The 17,062-nt window shown below is 48.1% G+C and overlaps 1 protein-coding gene across 14 annotated transcripts in view; it reads right to left on the bottom strand.

The window, feature by feature from the left end:
* Positions 1–623: 623 nt before the first annotated feature.
* MRAS (muscle RAS oncogene homolog) overlaps positions 624–17,062 on the bottom strand; it is a 57,888-nt gene continuing 41,449 nt past the window's right edge. For 9 of the 14 annotated variants that reach the window (NM_012219.4, NM_001252091.1, XM_047447696.1 and 6 more), the window contains 4 exons: positions 8,682–8,835; positions 7,591–7,690; positions 5,546–5,625; positions 624–3,989 (listed from right to left, as the gene is read on the bottom strand). In NM_012219.4, the coding sequence (NP_036351.3) occupies positions 3,890–3,989; positions 5,546–5,625; positions 7,591–7,690; positions 8,682–8,835 (434 nt within the window). In that variant the 3' untranslated portion in view covers positions 624–3,889. Of the gene's footprint in view, positions 3,990–5,544; positions 5,626–7,586; positions 7,691–8,681; positions 8,836–17,062 lie in introns of those variants that run through there. The other 5 variants (NM_001085049.3, NM_001252093.2, NM_001252092.2 and 2 more) reach the window with 2 other exon arrangements.

The raw sequence follows: 17,062 nt of genomic DNA, 5'->3' as shown, positions 1-17,062 counted from the left end.
TGTTTCAGCTAGAGTTGCCCAAAGAGCTACCAAGAGAGGGTTTTGGCTTGTACTCCCTGGAAAACGGAGCCTGAGAGATTCAGCTTGGTCAAGTACCCGCCCTATTTAATCAACAAAAATGAAATCACATTGTGCCAAAGACTGTAACCCTAAGGATGGGGGAAGAGGGCAGTTTCTATGAAAAGGAATGTCAGGCAGATAATCCAATAGGTGTCCTGGACAAAGAGCACTGTTTCTGGGCTCCTCACCACACTCCTACATTAGCTTTAGTCCTCCAGCTACTTTGAAGTGCACATTAGTGTCCCATTCACAGGCAAGGCAGCTCAAGACTAAGGCAGGTCATTTGCCCAAAGGCATACAAAGGTCGGTAGTAGGGCTAAAATCCAGATCTGCCCAGTATCAAGAGGTAGTGCCTCTAAATGCTGTGCTAGCCTGCCTTCATCCTCCAGCTCCATGCAGGAAGGAGACACCCCACGGCCACCAGTGGGCTCCTCCTTACTTCAGATCTGGTTAGCACCAAGGTCATGCTCTGTAAGACGTGGATGTTCTGGGCAAAACACCAACAACTCACAATGTTCTCAGCAAAACTTCAGGAATACTGGAGTAAAAGGAACTAAGACAGATACGTGTTTCTCTTCTTTATTAATCAGTCGAGAGATACAAAGACTTAATAAAAAGTTACACAGAAGGTTCAAACATCACTGAGATCTTCAGGCATCACTCGTTTCACGACAATGGCCACCTGTTAAGACTATGAAACAGAAGCTGGGCGCTCACAGGCGCACAATAATTCAAGTATCTTTCATTCCAAGTAAACCCGACATGGAATTTCAAACACAATGGGCTGCCAATGGAGGGAACCTGTCTGTGGCTCCAGATTTGCTGTAACATGTCTGAGGGGCCTTTGGGTTAAAGTTGCCACGTTAGTGGGTCATGTCTCCTGGAAAAGTGAGACAGGCCCCACGAGGCCAGCCAGGCATTTTCCACAGCAAGTGCCATGAGAAGGAGGTGGGCAAAGTCCTAAGAGAAACCATCCAGGTGTCCCGAGTGGCAAAGTGCACAGGTAGTAAGTGGCCATTGTCCCCAGCCGTGGGAGTGGAGAGGATGGCTAGGATTATCTCTGGAAAAAAAAGAGCAGCCCTCTAAGGAGGGTGTCAAACAGTGGAAGAAATCTGAGAGCACACAATGGCAAAGGCATGGGGTGAGGGCATTTCAGGAAGGCTGTGCTCCAGGGGATGTGAGGGTAGCACTATTCTCCGGAAGACCAACGGGAACATGAGGATGTCAAACAGCCAGAAGTCCCAGTTGGCTCCTCGGTCATGGTGTGGCGTGGCCAACCAGGTTTCCCAGTCTGACCCTGCTAGATGATAATGGAGGAGAAGATGGAGGGATGTCACGGGGCACACTCTACACTCTACTCTGGCCTATCTGGAAGCTACCTCAGTCATGAGGGCCCACTTCTACAAATGGGGCATTATTTACCCATTTCATTTATGGGGAAATGAGTTCATGGGAGATGAAAGCTTACCAGAGGCTCAACAGCAGAGGATACAGAAGACCAACCCTTAACTAGTCTCTCTCAGGCACCATGGAGTTCAACGTGGGCCAAGTGCAGGATGGATGAACAGATGCACTGTCCCTTCTGTCCCAACTGTGTGGTTGAAATCCCTATGTCTTCTCACCTTTATGGCCGAGGTCTCTGTTCTACATCAGCTGATCTGCTTCCAGTGAGACTATCAAACTCAGTGCTGTCGAGGAGTTGCAGCTCCACGGTGGGCATGGGGTATGCTCGTAGTGGTTGGTGCCCAGCAGGAGTTTTCTGGCTGTGGACACTGCCCTGTGTGCAGGGCTTCTTCTCCTACTCCGCCATGCTCTTGATTCTGAGCATCTCCATCCTTACTCCTTCCTACCTGCCTTTCCTCCGCCTCACCTCCAGTTTGCAGCTGCCATCAAACTGCACACAACAAACTGCTGCAGATACCACTTAGGGAAGCATAAGGATTGGGAAGAGCTTTGTCCTTTTAGTGTTTAAAATACCTCTTAACACTATAGGGTCTAAGGAAACTTTGAAGTGCCTCACCTGGAATGTTCTCTCTTATCCTTCCTTTTAGGAACAGAAAAAGGGGCAATTTAGACAAATAAGAAGTTTGATTTCCAACAAGCAAAAGTCTCAACTGTCTCCTTTTGTAGCAGAATCATTCTCCAGCTGGGCCCCTCAGTGCTGGTGATCTTGCCGAGGTAGGAACACAGCACATTTTCAGAACCCGGGTGTCTTGGCATCCAGTTGGGTGCTCACTTTCCTTGGGTTTCTTTCTCCAGAGTGGCCAGGCCACCTGCTGAGGATATTCTAGTTTGCATAGTGACCTGATTTGTAACATCTAGAAAATAAGGTCACCAGCTGTGCTGCCTTTTATTCTGACCTTTTCTTTGGTGCAGCGTTGTTCCTGTTGTCTCTCCACTCCCACCCCAGCTGGAAAAACTCCAGTCTTTGGCTCACACCAGCAGCACCTGAGGTGGGGGGGCGGGGGTGAGCATCATCAGGGAGCTGGGGAGACTGCCCCCTTGCAGAAGGTATATGAGAGCCACACATCAGCCCAGCCTTCCTTACTTCTCAGATCATTTTATAGTCAAGATTCAACAGGTCAATAAAAATTGCCAAAAAGGCAACCTAGTACTACTTTTACAAATACTGGAAGGGGTCTGCTCATTGACTAGGCTTATAGAGGTGGTAGTCAGTTGACTCCAAGGGAAGATGGCTTCAGGTCTTGGTGCTGTTTTAGTGATAACAGTATTGAATCATTTTTGGTTAAGATCCAGCATGAACTGGAGTTTTCTGGATGGTGTCCACATTAGGTTACTTTGACGTGTCAGTGTATTCGTATCAGAGAGGCACCAAGCAGCACAGCTGATGTGAAAACGCAGCAAGAGACAGATCTGAGAAACCCAGAGCCTCCTCAGACCCCTGGGGAGGGCAGAGAACTTAACCCATACTGTCTGAAAAACAAATGAACATGTTTGCAAAGCCAATCAGCTTACTTTAGTTTATACATTTCCAGGATAATGAAAACCCCTTTTAGAACTGACATGCTCATGACAGCCACTCCCCTCAGCAAAATACAATCTGTTTTCTAATATTTGCATCCCCAACCATAGGAAAATCCTCTGGGTAAATACCTCTCTCTTCTCTCATTTCTAGGCCATGTGTAGGGTCTCTTTCCCTCCCAGGTTTGACCCATGGCCTGAGGCCTCCAGCTACAGTTCCCATTACCTTCTGTCCTCTCAGACACTCTACTTTCAGATTGAGTTGAGTTTTGGCACTGATGGGAAAACTCGGTTAAAAAACAACAACAATATTCCAGATATGTTACCAGAGAGGTCTGCTGAACACTTGAAACTTCACCAGGCAGTGAGCCCAGACCCCTTTAATAAAATAATAATCACTAAAATAATTTAAAAATCTATAAAAGACATCCAAGCTCAGACATTGTGGATGGGGGGTAAGGGAAAGAAGCTTGTTCATGGCTTGTTTTGTACTTTGTATGTGGATAAACACTTCCACATCAAACCAACACTATGTAGTTACAATAAACAACACACCCACCGAGAGAGGGGGAGGAACCGGGTTGAATCAACACATGGGGGGGCCAGGGGCACTTGGATGCTGCTTCTGCTTACAGGTGGCTTCCTTGTCTCTTTGAGAGGTGGGAAAGCCCGTGCCCTCTGGGCAAAGCCAGACCCTGTCTGCTCCCTGCCCACCTGCCCTTCTCCCTTCCTGTACCAAGTCCTTGGGCCAAGGGTTGTGGTTAGAAATGGTTTCAGTGCAGTTAGGTGGGGAGGGGTCCCGAGGGCTGGCCAGGCCACCGTCACTGTGCCCAGGGCCTCAGGCCTGTCACAAGATCACACATTGCAGTTTGTGGGTGCCTGTGGCCCGGTCTCCCCGCCATTTGGTTTTCTTCTTCTTCTTCTGGCTTTTTTCCGGAATCTGTTGCCTTTTGAAACAATGAAGGACAGAAAGACAAAGTCAGAATGGGCTTTGCTTCTCCTCTGCCCCTCTCCTCCCTAGCCCCAGATCTGAGTCAGAGGAGGCCTGTTCTGGCGGGGTTAGTGGGTGAGGGGGATGGGGATGCCATCCCTCTCCCAGTGGCTGTCCTGGCCGCTGGAGGAGGGCCTGGCAGGATAGCTTCTCTTGAGGCAATGCAATGGGGGAGATGGGGGAGGGGATAACCTAAATCGCCCTACTGATGGGAATGACTGACATTATGTTGTAGCTACATTTACATAAATCATAAGCTACATCACGTTTTGTCTTATAGAGTGCTGGCCTCTATTCCTGTGTTTCATAGTTTAAATAAAATGATGGGTCAACTGAGCGTAAAAGCCATTTCATGTTTTCTGTTAACTTTTCCTATGTCTAAAACCTGACCTTGGCACTATAGGTTCACAACCAAGGCATCACCATAGGCTACCTGATGGCAGCACATCCTAATTGGAGGCAAAATGCCCAAGAGCAAATAGTTTCTTTCTTTCTTTTGTAAAGATGGCATTTCACTATGTTGCCCAGGCTGGTCTTGAACTCCTAGCCTCAAGCAATCCTCTTGCCTCCACCTCCACCTTTGCCTCTGAGTGCTGGGATTACAGGAATGAGCCACTACGCCTGGATGAGAAAATCATTTTGAGAGTGCAAAACTGCCAGCAAAAACATAAAGTGAAGAATGTAATATTTCCTCATTACGCTGGGGAATAATGAGAAGATGAGCTTTTTGAGCATGTGGGGGCATGTGTGTATAGTGGGGGTTAGAGCCCCGGGGCTGATCTCACAGCTCACCAGCAGCCCTTGGAGGTGCCAGCATATAGGCCACAAACTCAACGCACAATGTCTGAGACCCGCTGGTTAGGCTGCTGTGCATGTTAAAGATTTGGGAAATGGGATAGCTTGGTGACAGCGGATGCAGCCAGGAGGCTGTTTTAGTCATGAGTGCATGAGGTGATTAACGTCTTGACCCTGACCATGCAAAGGAATATACAAGAAACTTTCATTAGGATTGCTGACAATACTTGGAGATTGACAGCTGGTGGGGTTGGGAAAGGAGATACATGTGCAATGCCTCTGAAATTTGAACCTTGGAATCAGAATATTGGTTGTTCAGGGGAAATATCAAAGGGTGCTCTGATATCAGGGCAGGGAAGAGGAGAGAGACCTAGTTTGTACAGTGTGGAAAGCTTTGGTGTGAGGAGAACACTGAAGCCAGGCTGGAGGGAGCTGCCTTCCAGGGAGCCTGAGCCACTGCATCAGACAGGAAGGCATTTCCACTTAACATGTGCAGCAGACATCACCCACAAACCCGTTAGCAGCTGCGGGGAGGGCAGAGGTAGGTGGAAAAAGCAAAAGAAAGAAATGGAAGGAGGGACAAGAAATCCAAAAATAGGCCCAGAATTCCACAGCCTCATGGCCTCAGAACAGGAGCTGCTTCCTCAAGCTCCCAGCTGCCTCCAGGAGCCAACCCATGCTGTGGAGGCCCGCTTCTAGGGAGAGGGCAGTGCTCACCTAATTACTCTAACGAGGTCATGGAAGGCTTTGTCGACATTGAGAGGTGGGTCCTTGGCACTGGTTTCTATGTACGGAATCTGGAAGGCAAAGCTCAACTTGATCAAAGTGGCACAGAGATCCTCAAAGCCCTGTTACACCCTTAAAAATGCCCAGAGGTTCTGAGGAACCCAGGTGCTTTCAAAACCCCCCACAGAAGCCCCAGCCCCCAATAGCCTCAAGCATCATTTAGGGCTTTTCACTCTTTCAGGTTGGAAAGTGTTACTAATGGCTTTTCCAATTCCCTCTTGTTCTCTAGGCACAGAGATATTTAATAGCTCCCTAAAAATAGAATAAAGTGATCTTTTTATATACTTGAAGATGAAAGACTGTTTCATTTATCAAAAATACATTCTGATTCTATCCATTTTTCTTTCTGAGGTCTGTTGCTCCACCTTGGGATGACTTCTGTCCCTCTTTCTGGGCCCCTCCAGAGTGGACGTGGTAGAAAAGGCTGAGGAGAGGCTGGGCCATGACCAGGATTCTGGGCCCAGGTGACCCTGGCCCCGTCGGAGCTGGCCCCCACCTCATCCCAGCTCTTGTTTGATCTGTATCTATGAGCCTGGGAGCTCAGCCATGTTTACACAAGGTTTTTGTCTGCACGTTCAATGGTGAGAAATCATCACCCGGTCGAAAGGGTGCAGACAGCGGGAGATACGACTGTGGTGGCCCCACAGAGCAGGTTTCCAGGGCCAGATCTGCACCAAGCCTCGGGCTGGCAAAGGGAGGAGAACAAAGGCTCTATGAGGTCAGGACACACTCACTCCTGAGCGCTCACCTTCTCCTACAGCAGGGACCCCACCAAGGCAGGAAGTGTTCATTCCCCAAAGGCGGGGAGCAGGGTGGGGAACACACAGGCCTCCCTTGATGAGACAGATGGAAGTAAGCTGAGTGTGATTAGACTGAATAACTTTGTTATTTTTCATAAGTTTTTCTGATTACAAAATTAATGCCTTTCATTATAATATGCTGGAAAAAGAAAAGCACAGTGAAGGAAAGAAAAATAATCAACACTTGAAATGCATGGAGGGCGACAGAGTAAGTTGTTGTTTTAGAGGAGTAGATTGTAAATCATTGCCCAGAACACAAACCAGTCAGTATCTTCCCATCCATCATCATCGCGTGAGGTTGGATGTGCACACTTCTGTTGTAGCCAACAGACACACAAAGCGCAGAGCACAAAAGGCAGAGCTTAAGCCTTTGAAATATTCATTGGACAAATATTTGAGCCTCTGATAACACTAAATGGAAACTGCTCTTCATTATGGGCTGTTTGGCTTTCCAGGTCTCACTATCCCTGACCTCTTTTAGTCCTCACATTAACCCTCTGAGGTAAGCAAGTATCTCCATTCTGCAGCTCAGGAGACTGAGCTCAGAATGACGCACTTGCTCAAGGTCAACACCGGCTGGCAGAGAATCAGGGTTTGAACTGGGCACACTTTCCACTTTCTCCTGGCCCTGGTAAGGGGTGCTGAGGTCTGCTTTGGAGCCTCTTCCAGGTTGGACACCAAATCCGGCCATGGCAGATGCCCCTGATAAGCGGCCAGTAGAGTCCTATGGGGCCCCTGTAAGTCAGGACAACGTGCATCCCTGCACACACCCAGAGGGGAGGCAGGAAGGCACCGCAGCTCAAGCTGGGACCTACCTGGAGCCCCTTCACATCCTGTACTCCTACCGGCTCAGTAATGGCCCAGGTTCCAGGGCCTCAGACCACTGCCACCTGTGGTCCCACCCCATCACTCAGAAGTCCCTGAGTTGTATGATCCCCCCAGGTCCCAGACACCTTCTACTTTCTTTCTAGGGGACCTGTCTCTACCATTGACGAAACACTGATGTGCATTACCTGGATTCCTGGAATTGCAGGATTTCAGTAGCAACAAGACTTAAACTAAGGGGAGCCCTTCAATAAACAGTAGTTTCATTTCCAAAGACCAGGACTGCAGGGGTGACCAGGCTACAGCTTTTACACATCTCCTGACCCCCTCTACACACACGCACACACCTACATTGTGTTTGGTCGCCATTTCTTTTCCTTGCTCCCTGGTGATCTTCCTCAAGTGCATCAAATCGACCTTGTTGGCCACGAGGATCATCGGGAATGACTCCCTGGGAAATAAAGGAACAGCAGCTCTGTGAGGTTTCCACCACCCCTCACACCTGGTTAAGGTGGCACATTCACATCTCAGGCATAGCACAGCCAGCCCACAGCACCTCCCCAGTCAGCCTGGACTGCAGTCCCTTCCCTCTTCCTTTCCAGAGAGAGGTCAGGGCTTGGGGGAAAGGGCCCGGGGGCTGCTGGCTATCTTGGCTTTAAGCCTCAGGTCCATTGCAAGGCCAGTGGTGAGGACTTGAGGGGCTGCTGGCCAGGGGCTGGCTCCCCAGACCTGGTTCCCATCTCTTGGGTCACTCAGATGTACCAACCACACAACCAGCTGCACAATTAGGATGGCTCCCAGCAGAGGGCATCAAGAGGCATGGCCACCGTAAAGATTCTTATTGACATGGGCCAAATTTTGTCCAAAACTGAATGAAACGACAATCTCACCGCAGCATTGAGTATTTGGCAGCATTGGGTATTTCCATTTTAAAAAATTATAATTTGACAGGTGAAAAATGGTACTTTACTATTTTCCCTATATTTCTTTGATTAGCAAGAAAGTTGAACATTTTCCCACATTTGAGCCATTTTTGTTTTCTCTTTTGCAATTCATGTATTCGGAGTAAAACCCACATTAATCTGTGGGAGCTTTATGTGTATGTATGTGTGTCCCTTTACCTGGTAAACTTATTAACACTTTGCCTTTGGAACACATGTTAGCTAGATTTTTTTCTGTCTTTAATGGAATTTGCTCAAAGCTTGTTCTTTTCCTATTAGTTTGTGCTTTTATTTTCATTACATAGCCTCTTTGAGAATCAACAAGGCCAAATGAGTATAAACCAGATTTCAAATGATTTAATTACTCCACATAAGGCTTAAAAAAATCCACGCCTTTAATTAGGGGTGAGAGAGAGAGAAAGAGAAAGAGAGAGAGAGAGAGCGCCCTAGGAGGCAGGCGCAGGCCTCTTCCCGGTACTCTCACCTGTCTTTGATGCTCACCTGTCTTTGACGCGCAGGATAAGCTGGTGGAAGCGGTCCACGTGCTCAAAGCTGGCCTTGTCAGTGACGGAGTAGACGATGAGGAAGCCATCCCCCGTGCGCATGTATTGCTCCCGCATGGCGCTGAATTCCTCCTGCCCAGCTGTGTCCAGAACTGGGGTGGGATGAGGCCACTCAGGGGCTGTCCTCACCTACCCTGTAGCCCCCACAGCCTGCAAGACTCCAACACTGCTGCTGCTGCTGTCCCTACCGTGGCCCAGTCCGAGCTGTCCCGTGAGAGGCTGCATAAGCTCTCTCTCTAGGGCTGCTCGAAGGGTCCCAGCTGAAGCTCCCCAACCTTAAAGCCGCTTCAGGGTGAGGCTCTGACTCACTGTGGACCCACCAAACCCTTCTCCTCCAGTTTCACCCCATGTGCTTACTAGGCCTAAATTCTCTGATCTACAGACGCGCCTCATGAAGCCAGTGATGAACTCTGCTACACAATCCCTCTGGCCAGACCTGGGCTTGGATCCCTGCTGCAGGGCCTACAAACTGTGACTCTTTGGGAGGCTGCCTGACTCTCTGAGCTTCCCCTTTCCTCCTCTATCAATGAAAACCGTGCCTCTACCTTGCACCCCCTAGGGGAGAAGAGCTTATTTGTGGACATGCCTGGGGGGAAGCCCTGAAGAGGCCATCTGGGCAGGAAGGGCTTCTCAGCCCCCAAGGGGACAGATACCAAGGAGACCCTGGGGGAGGAGCGGCCCCTCACAGCCAGGGCACTTCCTCCTAGGCTGGGGCTGGAAGCTCTTCCTCCTAACCCATCCATCCCCCCAACTACTCCTGCCCAGGTGCTCTCGCCCCTCACTGCCACCTTCCTCCAGCCTCCTTCCTGCTGAGGGAAAGTCTCATCCCACTGCTCACAGCCACAAGCTCGGTAGGCAGGGTGGGGGGTTCCTTTTAGCAGTGCAGGCCTGACCCCTTTCTGCCCTCTGGGGGCATGAAGTCTGAACCTGCAGCATCCTCCAAGCACCTGCTCATGGCTTAGCCTCCCCTGCGTCTTCCCAGTCCCCCTGCTGCCTGACCAGATCCACCTTCCCCTCTCCTGTGAGGCAGGGGAGCGGGTGGTTACAGATTTTGGAGCCAGCCCACTGGGCGGAGTCTGGCTTCTCATGCCTGGGTGTGACCCCAGGCAAGCTACCCTCTCTGTGCCACCATTTCCTAAAATGGGGATGGTCAAGGTAGTTTTCAGTTAATACATGTAATGCCCTCAGTGCAGTGCCTGGCACAAAAGCCCTGTGGGAGGGTCTGCTGTGAGCTTGCCATCCTCACTGGGGTCTTCTCTCCCGCTCTGGCTACCCTCGCAGTCCAGGACACTTTCCTCCAACTCCCCCTTCCCTCCCCTTCTCCACTGGCCTTGGTGAGCGGACTCTGACTTGGCTGTAGCTGGAGCCCCAGGACCAACCCCAGCCCCATGCCAACCCTTCCGGGAACACTTCTGGCCAGCCATGTAGTTGTCCCCAGCAGGACTGTTAGCTCCCAGGGGTAACGGCAGGTCTGTGCCAGTCACCTGTCTACTCATGGCCTGGCCAAAAAGTAGCCCCGAACAGTACTTGAATCAAAAAATAAATGTGAAGTCTGTCCAATCTTGTCATTCATTTAAGGAATGTCTGAGTGCCTGCTAGGTGGCAGGAAGTGTTCTAGGCCCTATGGACAGAAGGCGAATGAGACCAAATCCTTGCTTTTATGGGACTCACCATCTAGAAGCAAGACAGATCAACAAATGAATGGCTGTTATTTTAGTGGAGATAGATACACAGTGTGAAGAATGATATAGTCGGCTGGAGGGTCACTGGCAGAAGTTGGTGTCATTTTGGGTAGGGAAGGAGGACCAATATCAGAAGGTGACATTTGAACAGTGACTAAATGAGGGGCCGGAGGGAGCCACGTGGCCTAGCGGAAGAGCACTCCAGGCAGAGGGAACACAACAAATTCGAAGGCTCAAAGGTGGAGGTGTGCAAGGGCAAGAAGGGGAGTGAAGGGCGTGTGAAGGATGGAGAGGAGGTGGGGGCAGATGGTGGGGCCTGCCACACTGTGTAAGTTTCACTTGGTTCTAAGCAAGACTGGGGCCACTGGAGAGTTTGGGCAAAAGAATGGCATAGTCTGGCCAGGCGCGGTGGCTCATGCATGTAATCCCAGTGCTTTGGGAGGCCGAGGCAAGTGGATCACCTGAGGTCAGGAGTTCGAGACCAGCCTGGCCAAATGAAACCCCGTCTCTACTAAAAATACAAAAATTAGCCAGGCATGGTGTCGAGCGCCTGCAATCCCAGCTACTCATGAGGCTGAGGCAGGAGAATCACTTGAACCCAGGAGGCAGAGGTTGCAGTGAGCTGAGATAGCGCCACTGCACTCCAGCCTGGGTGATAAGAGCAAAACTCCGTCTGAAAAAAAAATAAAAAATAAAAAAGAAAGAAAAAGAAAGGCATGCTCTAGAGGACATCTTGAAAAGTTCATTCTGGCTGCTGGGGAAAACAGAGCAAGACTGGAAGCAGGGAACCAGTGAGGAGGCTAGCACAAGAATCCAGGCAACACATGCTGGTGGAGCCGAGGGCGGGGAGTGGGTGCTGGGGGAAGTGACCAGACCAAGGCCACTTTCTAAGACAGAGTCAACAGGAGCAGAGCTTTCTGGAGGAAAGTGTGGGGATAGAGAGGTGAGAAAAAGAGGCATTGAGGATGACGCCTGTTTCTGGCCTGAGCGTCTAGGGGAATAGTGATCCCAGATGCTGAGGTGGGGAAGTCTGGGTGAGAAACAGGGTTTGGGGGACTCAGTTTTTGACACAGGCTTCAGAGTCTATTAGACACCATGTTTGACTTCCAGTAGGTATTGGGGGACTTAAGTCAGACATAGAGAAGAGAAGAGGGGGCAAGAGATACAGATGTGGGAGTTGCCAGTGTGTAGATGGCAAGGAAAGCCACAGGACAAGCTATCCAGCGATGCCTGGGAATCCACATCTTCTTAGACAGGCACCTTTACACAGTACCCAAGAAAGTCACCTGTCCCCACAGCCCTTCATTGCTGCACATCCCCCAGAGCCATTTGGCACTTCAGAGGGGCCAGTGATGGACAAGAGGACCCAAGAGGTGCCCAGGGCATAAAAGCAGCTCATGGCTACTTCTGCTCCTTCCCTGGGCCTCAGTCTCATGTAGGAAATGAGGGGCGGGGCTCCGGGACCAGCAGGTCCTTACAGCTCTGATATCCTAGAACTATTTCATCTGGATGTGAAATGAAGAGGTCAGAAGGCAGGACCTACAGCCAAGGACCGGGCAGTTTCCCCAGTATTTCCCAGGAGGGAGCAGGAAGACTGCACCTTCAACTGGAGGGACTGCAGCTTTTTTTTTTCTTAGAAAAAAAAAAAAATTCGACTCAGAACTGCAATTAATAAAACAGACGGAAACAGCATGCATTTGGTTGAAGTGTGGGTGGAAAGGCCTGAATCGAAAAGCAGAAGACACCCGGGTGCGGTGGCTCATGCCTGTAATCCCAGCACTTTGGAAGGCCAAGGCAGGTGGATCACCTGAGGTCAGGAGTTGAAGACCAGCCTGGCCAACATCGTGAAACCCCATCTCTATTAAAAATACAAAAAATTAGCTGGGCATGGTGGCAGGTGCCTGTAATCCCAGCTACTCGGGAGGCTGAGGCAGGAGAGTCACTTGAACCCAGGAGGCAGAGGTTGCAGTGAGCCAAGATCACGCCATTGCACTCCAGCCTAGGCAACAAGAGCGAAGCTCTGTCTCAAAAAAAAAAGAAAAAAGCAGAAGACATTAAGGCAATATCGTAATTCATATATTTACAGATTTTGAAGGTATATACTATCTAAATGGAAACTAGAGATCTAGGATATTTTAAAATATGATCATTCAAATTAAAAAAAATTAATAGGGAGTTGAAAATCAAAATGGACCCTATGGAAAGGAAAAACAGTCATCTCAGACATTGAAGGTCTTAGAAATTATATCACCCAGGCTTTCTGGAAGAATTCTTACAAAGTAAAAAATAAAACCATCAAAGAGAAAGAAGAGTGATACTACAAACAGTGGTAAGCGAAGAAAACAGCAAAACATAAGAGTTAAGTTTAAGGCCAGTGCAGTAAGTTCAAGCCTATAATCCCAGCAGTTTGAGAGGCTGAGGTAGGAGGATAGTTTTAGGCCGGGAGTTTGAGACCAGCCTGGGCAACACAGTGAGACCCCATCTCTACAAATTTTTAAAAGAACAGGTAAGTTTAACTAAATGTTGTTGCATAATTTGAAGAGAATAGATGATAATGTAGAACTAAAATCTAAGATGATCCAATGTGTGAGGGTAGGAGCCAGGAAAAAATAAGTACTAAAGTTCTCGCCTCATTTGTCAAGAGGCTAATGATCCTGATTACATCTAGATGCTGATAGAAAAATACGAGTATACACACACATACATATATAGCATAACCAATAGAAGAACGGAAGTAAAACCTCAAACTTCCTAAGCAACACCTCAAACTTCCTAAGCAACAGAGGAAAAACAGGACAAAGTAAATGAAACCAATCCAACAAAAGGCAAAAATAAACTTAACAAAAATAAGCAAATATAATAAAAAGTAGGCATGAAATAAGATGGCTGAAATAAATCTATGACTCATCACAATAAATGCAAATGGATTAAATCCATCTATTAAAAGCAGATACTAAATACAAAATCCATTTGCCTGCCTTCTTTCAAAGACACATATAAAGCAAAATGACAGAGAGGATGAAAAATGGAAGGATAAAAAGAACATGCCAGCCACATGGTAACCAAAAGAAAAGAAATGCATCTACAAAACAGAATTCAAGGCCAGATCATGAAACGGACAAAGACAGAGTATTTATAATCGGAAAGGTACAAGCATCAAGAAGTGCCGCAGTCATCAATCATAAGCATCTAGGCATGTTGCTTAAACACGTATGTGGACAAAAAAAAGGATTTTTAAAAACAACAGGAATTGACAAATTCCATAATCATTATGAGAGACTTGAAGAGGCCTCTCTTAAATATAGAACAAATTATCTCCAAAAGCAATGTCCTGTCATTAAATAACAAAATTTAAATACTTGGCTGGGCAAGGTGGCTCATCCCTGTAATCCCAGTACTTTGGGAGGATAAAGCGGAGGATCAGCTTGAGCCCAAGAGTTTGAGGTTCCAATGAGCTACAATCTTGCCACTGCACTCCAGCCTCTGGGGCAGAATGAGAACCTGTCTCTAAAAACAAAATTTAAGCTTATTCTGAGAGACAGAACAAACTTTACATTCCAATAGTGAACAAGCATTTTTTTATTTTTTTGTTTTTTTGAGATGGAGTCTTACTCTGTCTCCAGGCTGGAGTGCAGTGGTGCAATCTTGGCTCACTGCAACCTCCGCCTGCCGGGTTCCAGCGATTCTCCTGCCTCAGCCTCCCGAGTAGCTAGGATTACAGGCATGCGCTACCATGCCCAGCTAATTTTTGTATTTTTAGTAGAGACAGAGTTTCACCATGTTGGCCAGGATGGTCTCAATCTCCTGACCTCGTGATCCACCTGCCTCGGCCTCCCAAAGTGCTGGGATTACAGGCGTAAGCCACCGCGCCTGGCCATGAACAAGCATTTTTAAACATACATGAAATTTGGCCATATATTAGAGGCCATAAATAAAAATTTCAACAAATTCCAGAAGGCAGAAATCCTATAGGCTAAGTTTTGTCCTTTATCTGAAATGCTTGGGGCCAGAGGTGTTTTGGAATTTTTATTTTTAAAAGATTCTGGAATATTTGCATATACATAACGAGATCTCTTGGGGATGGGACCCAAGTCTAAATACAAGATTCATTTATATTTATACACATAGACTGAAAATAATTTTATACAATATTTCCGAGAATTTTGTGCATAAAACAAAGTTCATATTAAGTACTTATATGTGGACTATTCACTGTGGCGTCACATAAGCGCTCAAAAAGTTTCAGATTTTGAATCCTTTCAGATTTCAGATTTTTGGACTGCAGATGCTCAACCTGTACTGTAACAGGATCAGAAATGAACAGAAACAAGAGTATAAGAGAATCTAGCCACCTGAAAATGTTAAAAGCCATGCTCCTCTATAACTCTCTAATTAAAAAGCAGAAATCACAGTTGAGAATTGAAGGACAATCAACAGAAATAAAACCTCTCATTTAAGGCCAAAGTGGTACTTACAGGAAAATTATAGCTTTAAATGCATTTCAGAAACTAAAACTGAAAATTAACTAAACACTTAAATCAAGAGGCTAGAAAAGGGAAAATAAACTAAAATAAGAGAGAAAGAAAAAGGTATCAATAAAAGTAGAAATTGCCAGAGTAGGAGGAGGGGAAAGTAGCTGATATCTAAAAATCAAAAGCAGATTCTTTCAAAGGACCAATTTAAAAAAACCCAGCTTTCAGCAATTCTTATCAGAGAAAAAAAGACAAGCATTTGGAATGAGAAAAGGCCTCTGACTATGGATACAGCTATATATTTAATTATGGAGAAAACCATACACAGTTTGATAATAATAAATTTTCAATTCTCAATGAAATGGATGGTTCAAGAAATATAAATGATCAAAATTGGCTCCAGAAAACATATAAAACCTAAATACACTAATAATGGCAGATGAAACGGAAGGGACAAAATCTACCCCAGGAATGGTATGAACCCATCCATTGGTCTGGGAGGGCTAGCAGGGAGGAGGGGTGTGTGGCTGAGCTGGGCCTGGTCCCAAGTGGGACTAGCCCACCCCTTGTCTAGCCCACCCCTCCACACACATACACCTGCAAATGCCCGGCCACAGGCCCCTTGTCAGCAGTTCTGACTCCAGGGCTTCCTGGGGGAGGCTGAAGATAATGGGCAGCTACACTATTAAGAAATTATGATCCTGCCTGCATTCCCCATGCCTGATGTCATGAAGGTAGGAGGACTCCAGAGACAGAAAGTATTAGTCACTGTGGGAGAAGAGGTATGCTGCCAATGTGCGTGTGCGTGTGCGTTTGTGAGAGAGAGACAGACAGATAGACAGAGACAGAGAGGCAGCCAGACTGGGGGAGGAGGAAGGAGAAAGATAAATGGAGAGACAGGGTCAGTGTTGTGCACATCTGTCTGCGATGCTCCAATCCTCCCACTTGAGGACAAGGGATCAAGGGACCCAGCAGCTTTGCAAAGGAGGATTTAACTGGAGACCCTGGAACTGCTGGGAGCTTATCGATTTCAGATGCCAAGGCAAGCCCCACATGCTGGCAAGGCATGTAGTCCCAGGCAGGAGGGCAGCCAGCATGGAGGAGCACCAGCCTGGGGCTCTGATGTAATAGTCAAGATCTTCTCCTCCTCCCCCTCACCTCTCCCCCTTTTCTCTGCTTCTCCTCCTCCCCCTCACCTCTCCCCCTTTTCTCTGCTTCTCCTCCTCCCTTCTCCCCTTCTTGTTCCCTCCTGAGAAATACTAGGAAAACTGCCCACGCCTGGGATTACAGGCGTGAGCCACCTTCTCCCCCTCTTCCACCCAGGCTTCCAGAGGGAGAAAAGTCACAGCATGAGCTCCAGGGGCTCCGACAGTGGCCCATAGCCCAGGGTACGGTCAAGATCTTTGGCTAAAAGTGGTCCCACCCACCGTGTTCCTGCTGGCAGCCAGCACTATGCCAAAGGCTTTATACACACCCACTCTCTCAGTCCTCTTCACAGCCTTGGAAGTAAGATATTACCATCCTCCTAGTATAGATGGGGACATTGAGGTCCAGGAGTTAAAGGGACCCACTAAAGGCCATGCACCAGGAAGAAGGGTGTTCCTATTTCCCTAAGGCCCAAGGGTCCCAGCCTGTCCAGTCATTTTTCTTCAACCAGAACCACCACTGTCTGGCTATCCTAGAACCGGCTGGGCCGTATCTCCATTCCAAGTCTTTGCCCAAGCCGTGACTTCCATCTAGAATGCCCTTTCCCCTCCTCTCCACTGGCTGTCCCAGCCGCCTTCCAGCTGGGATGCAGTCCATCTCCCTTCCTCCTCACAAGAGCGCCCAGCCTCTGACCTCCATCTTTGAGCCCTTCCTGTTGCGTGTGTCATCTGTTCCTCCAAGTCTGGGGGGCCTGGCTCAGCTCCTCACCATGGGGTAGAGTCCCAGAATGTGGGAGCCTGGCTTTCATTTCCCTGGGCCCACAAAAGCTTCAGCACTCAAGGAAGGCTCAAAAAATACTTGCAGAATGACTAGATGCATCATCTGCACTCTACAGAAAATGCCATCACTGGGTTAAAACAGCCCCCAGCTTTAGGGGAGATCACTAAAAACTGACTTTCAAACTGTTATGACACATGGTGGGGCACGGTGGCTCACATCTGTAATCCCAGCACTTTGGG

Source organism: Homo sapiens, chromosome 3 (assembly GCF_000001405.40).
Source record: "Homo sapiens chromosome 3, GRCh38.p14 Primary Assembly".
Lineage (NCBI taxonomy): Eukaryota > Metazoa > Chordata > Mammalia > Primates > Hominidae > Homo > Homo sapiens.
This window is presented reverse-complemented; position numbering and strand designations above follow the sequence as displayed.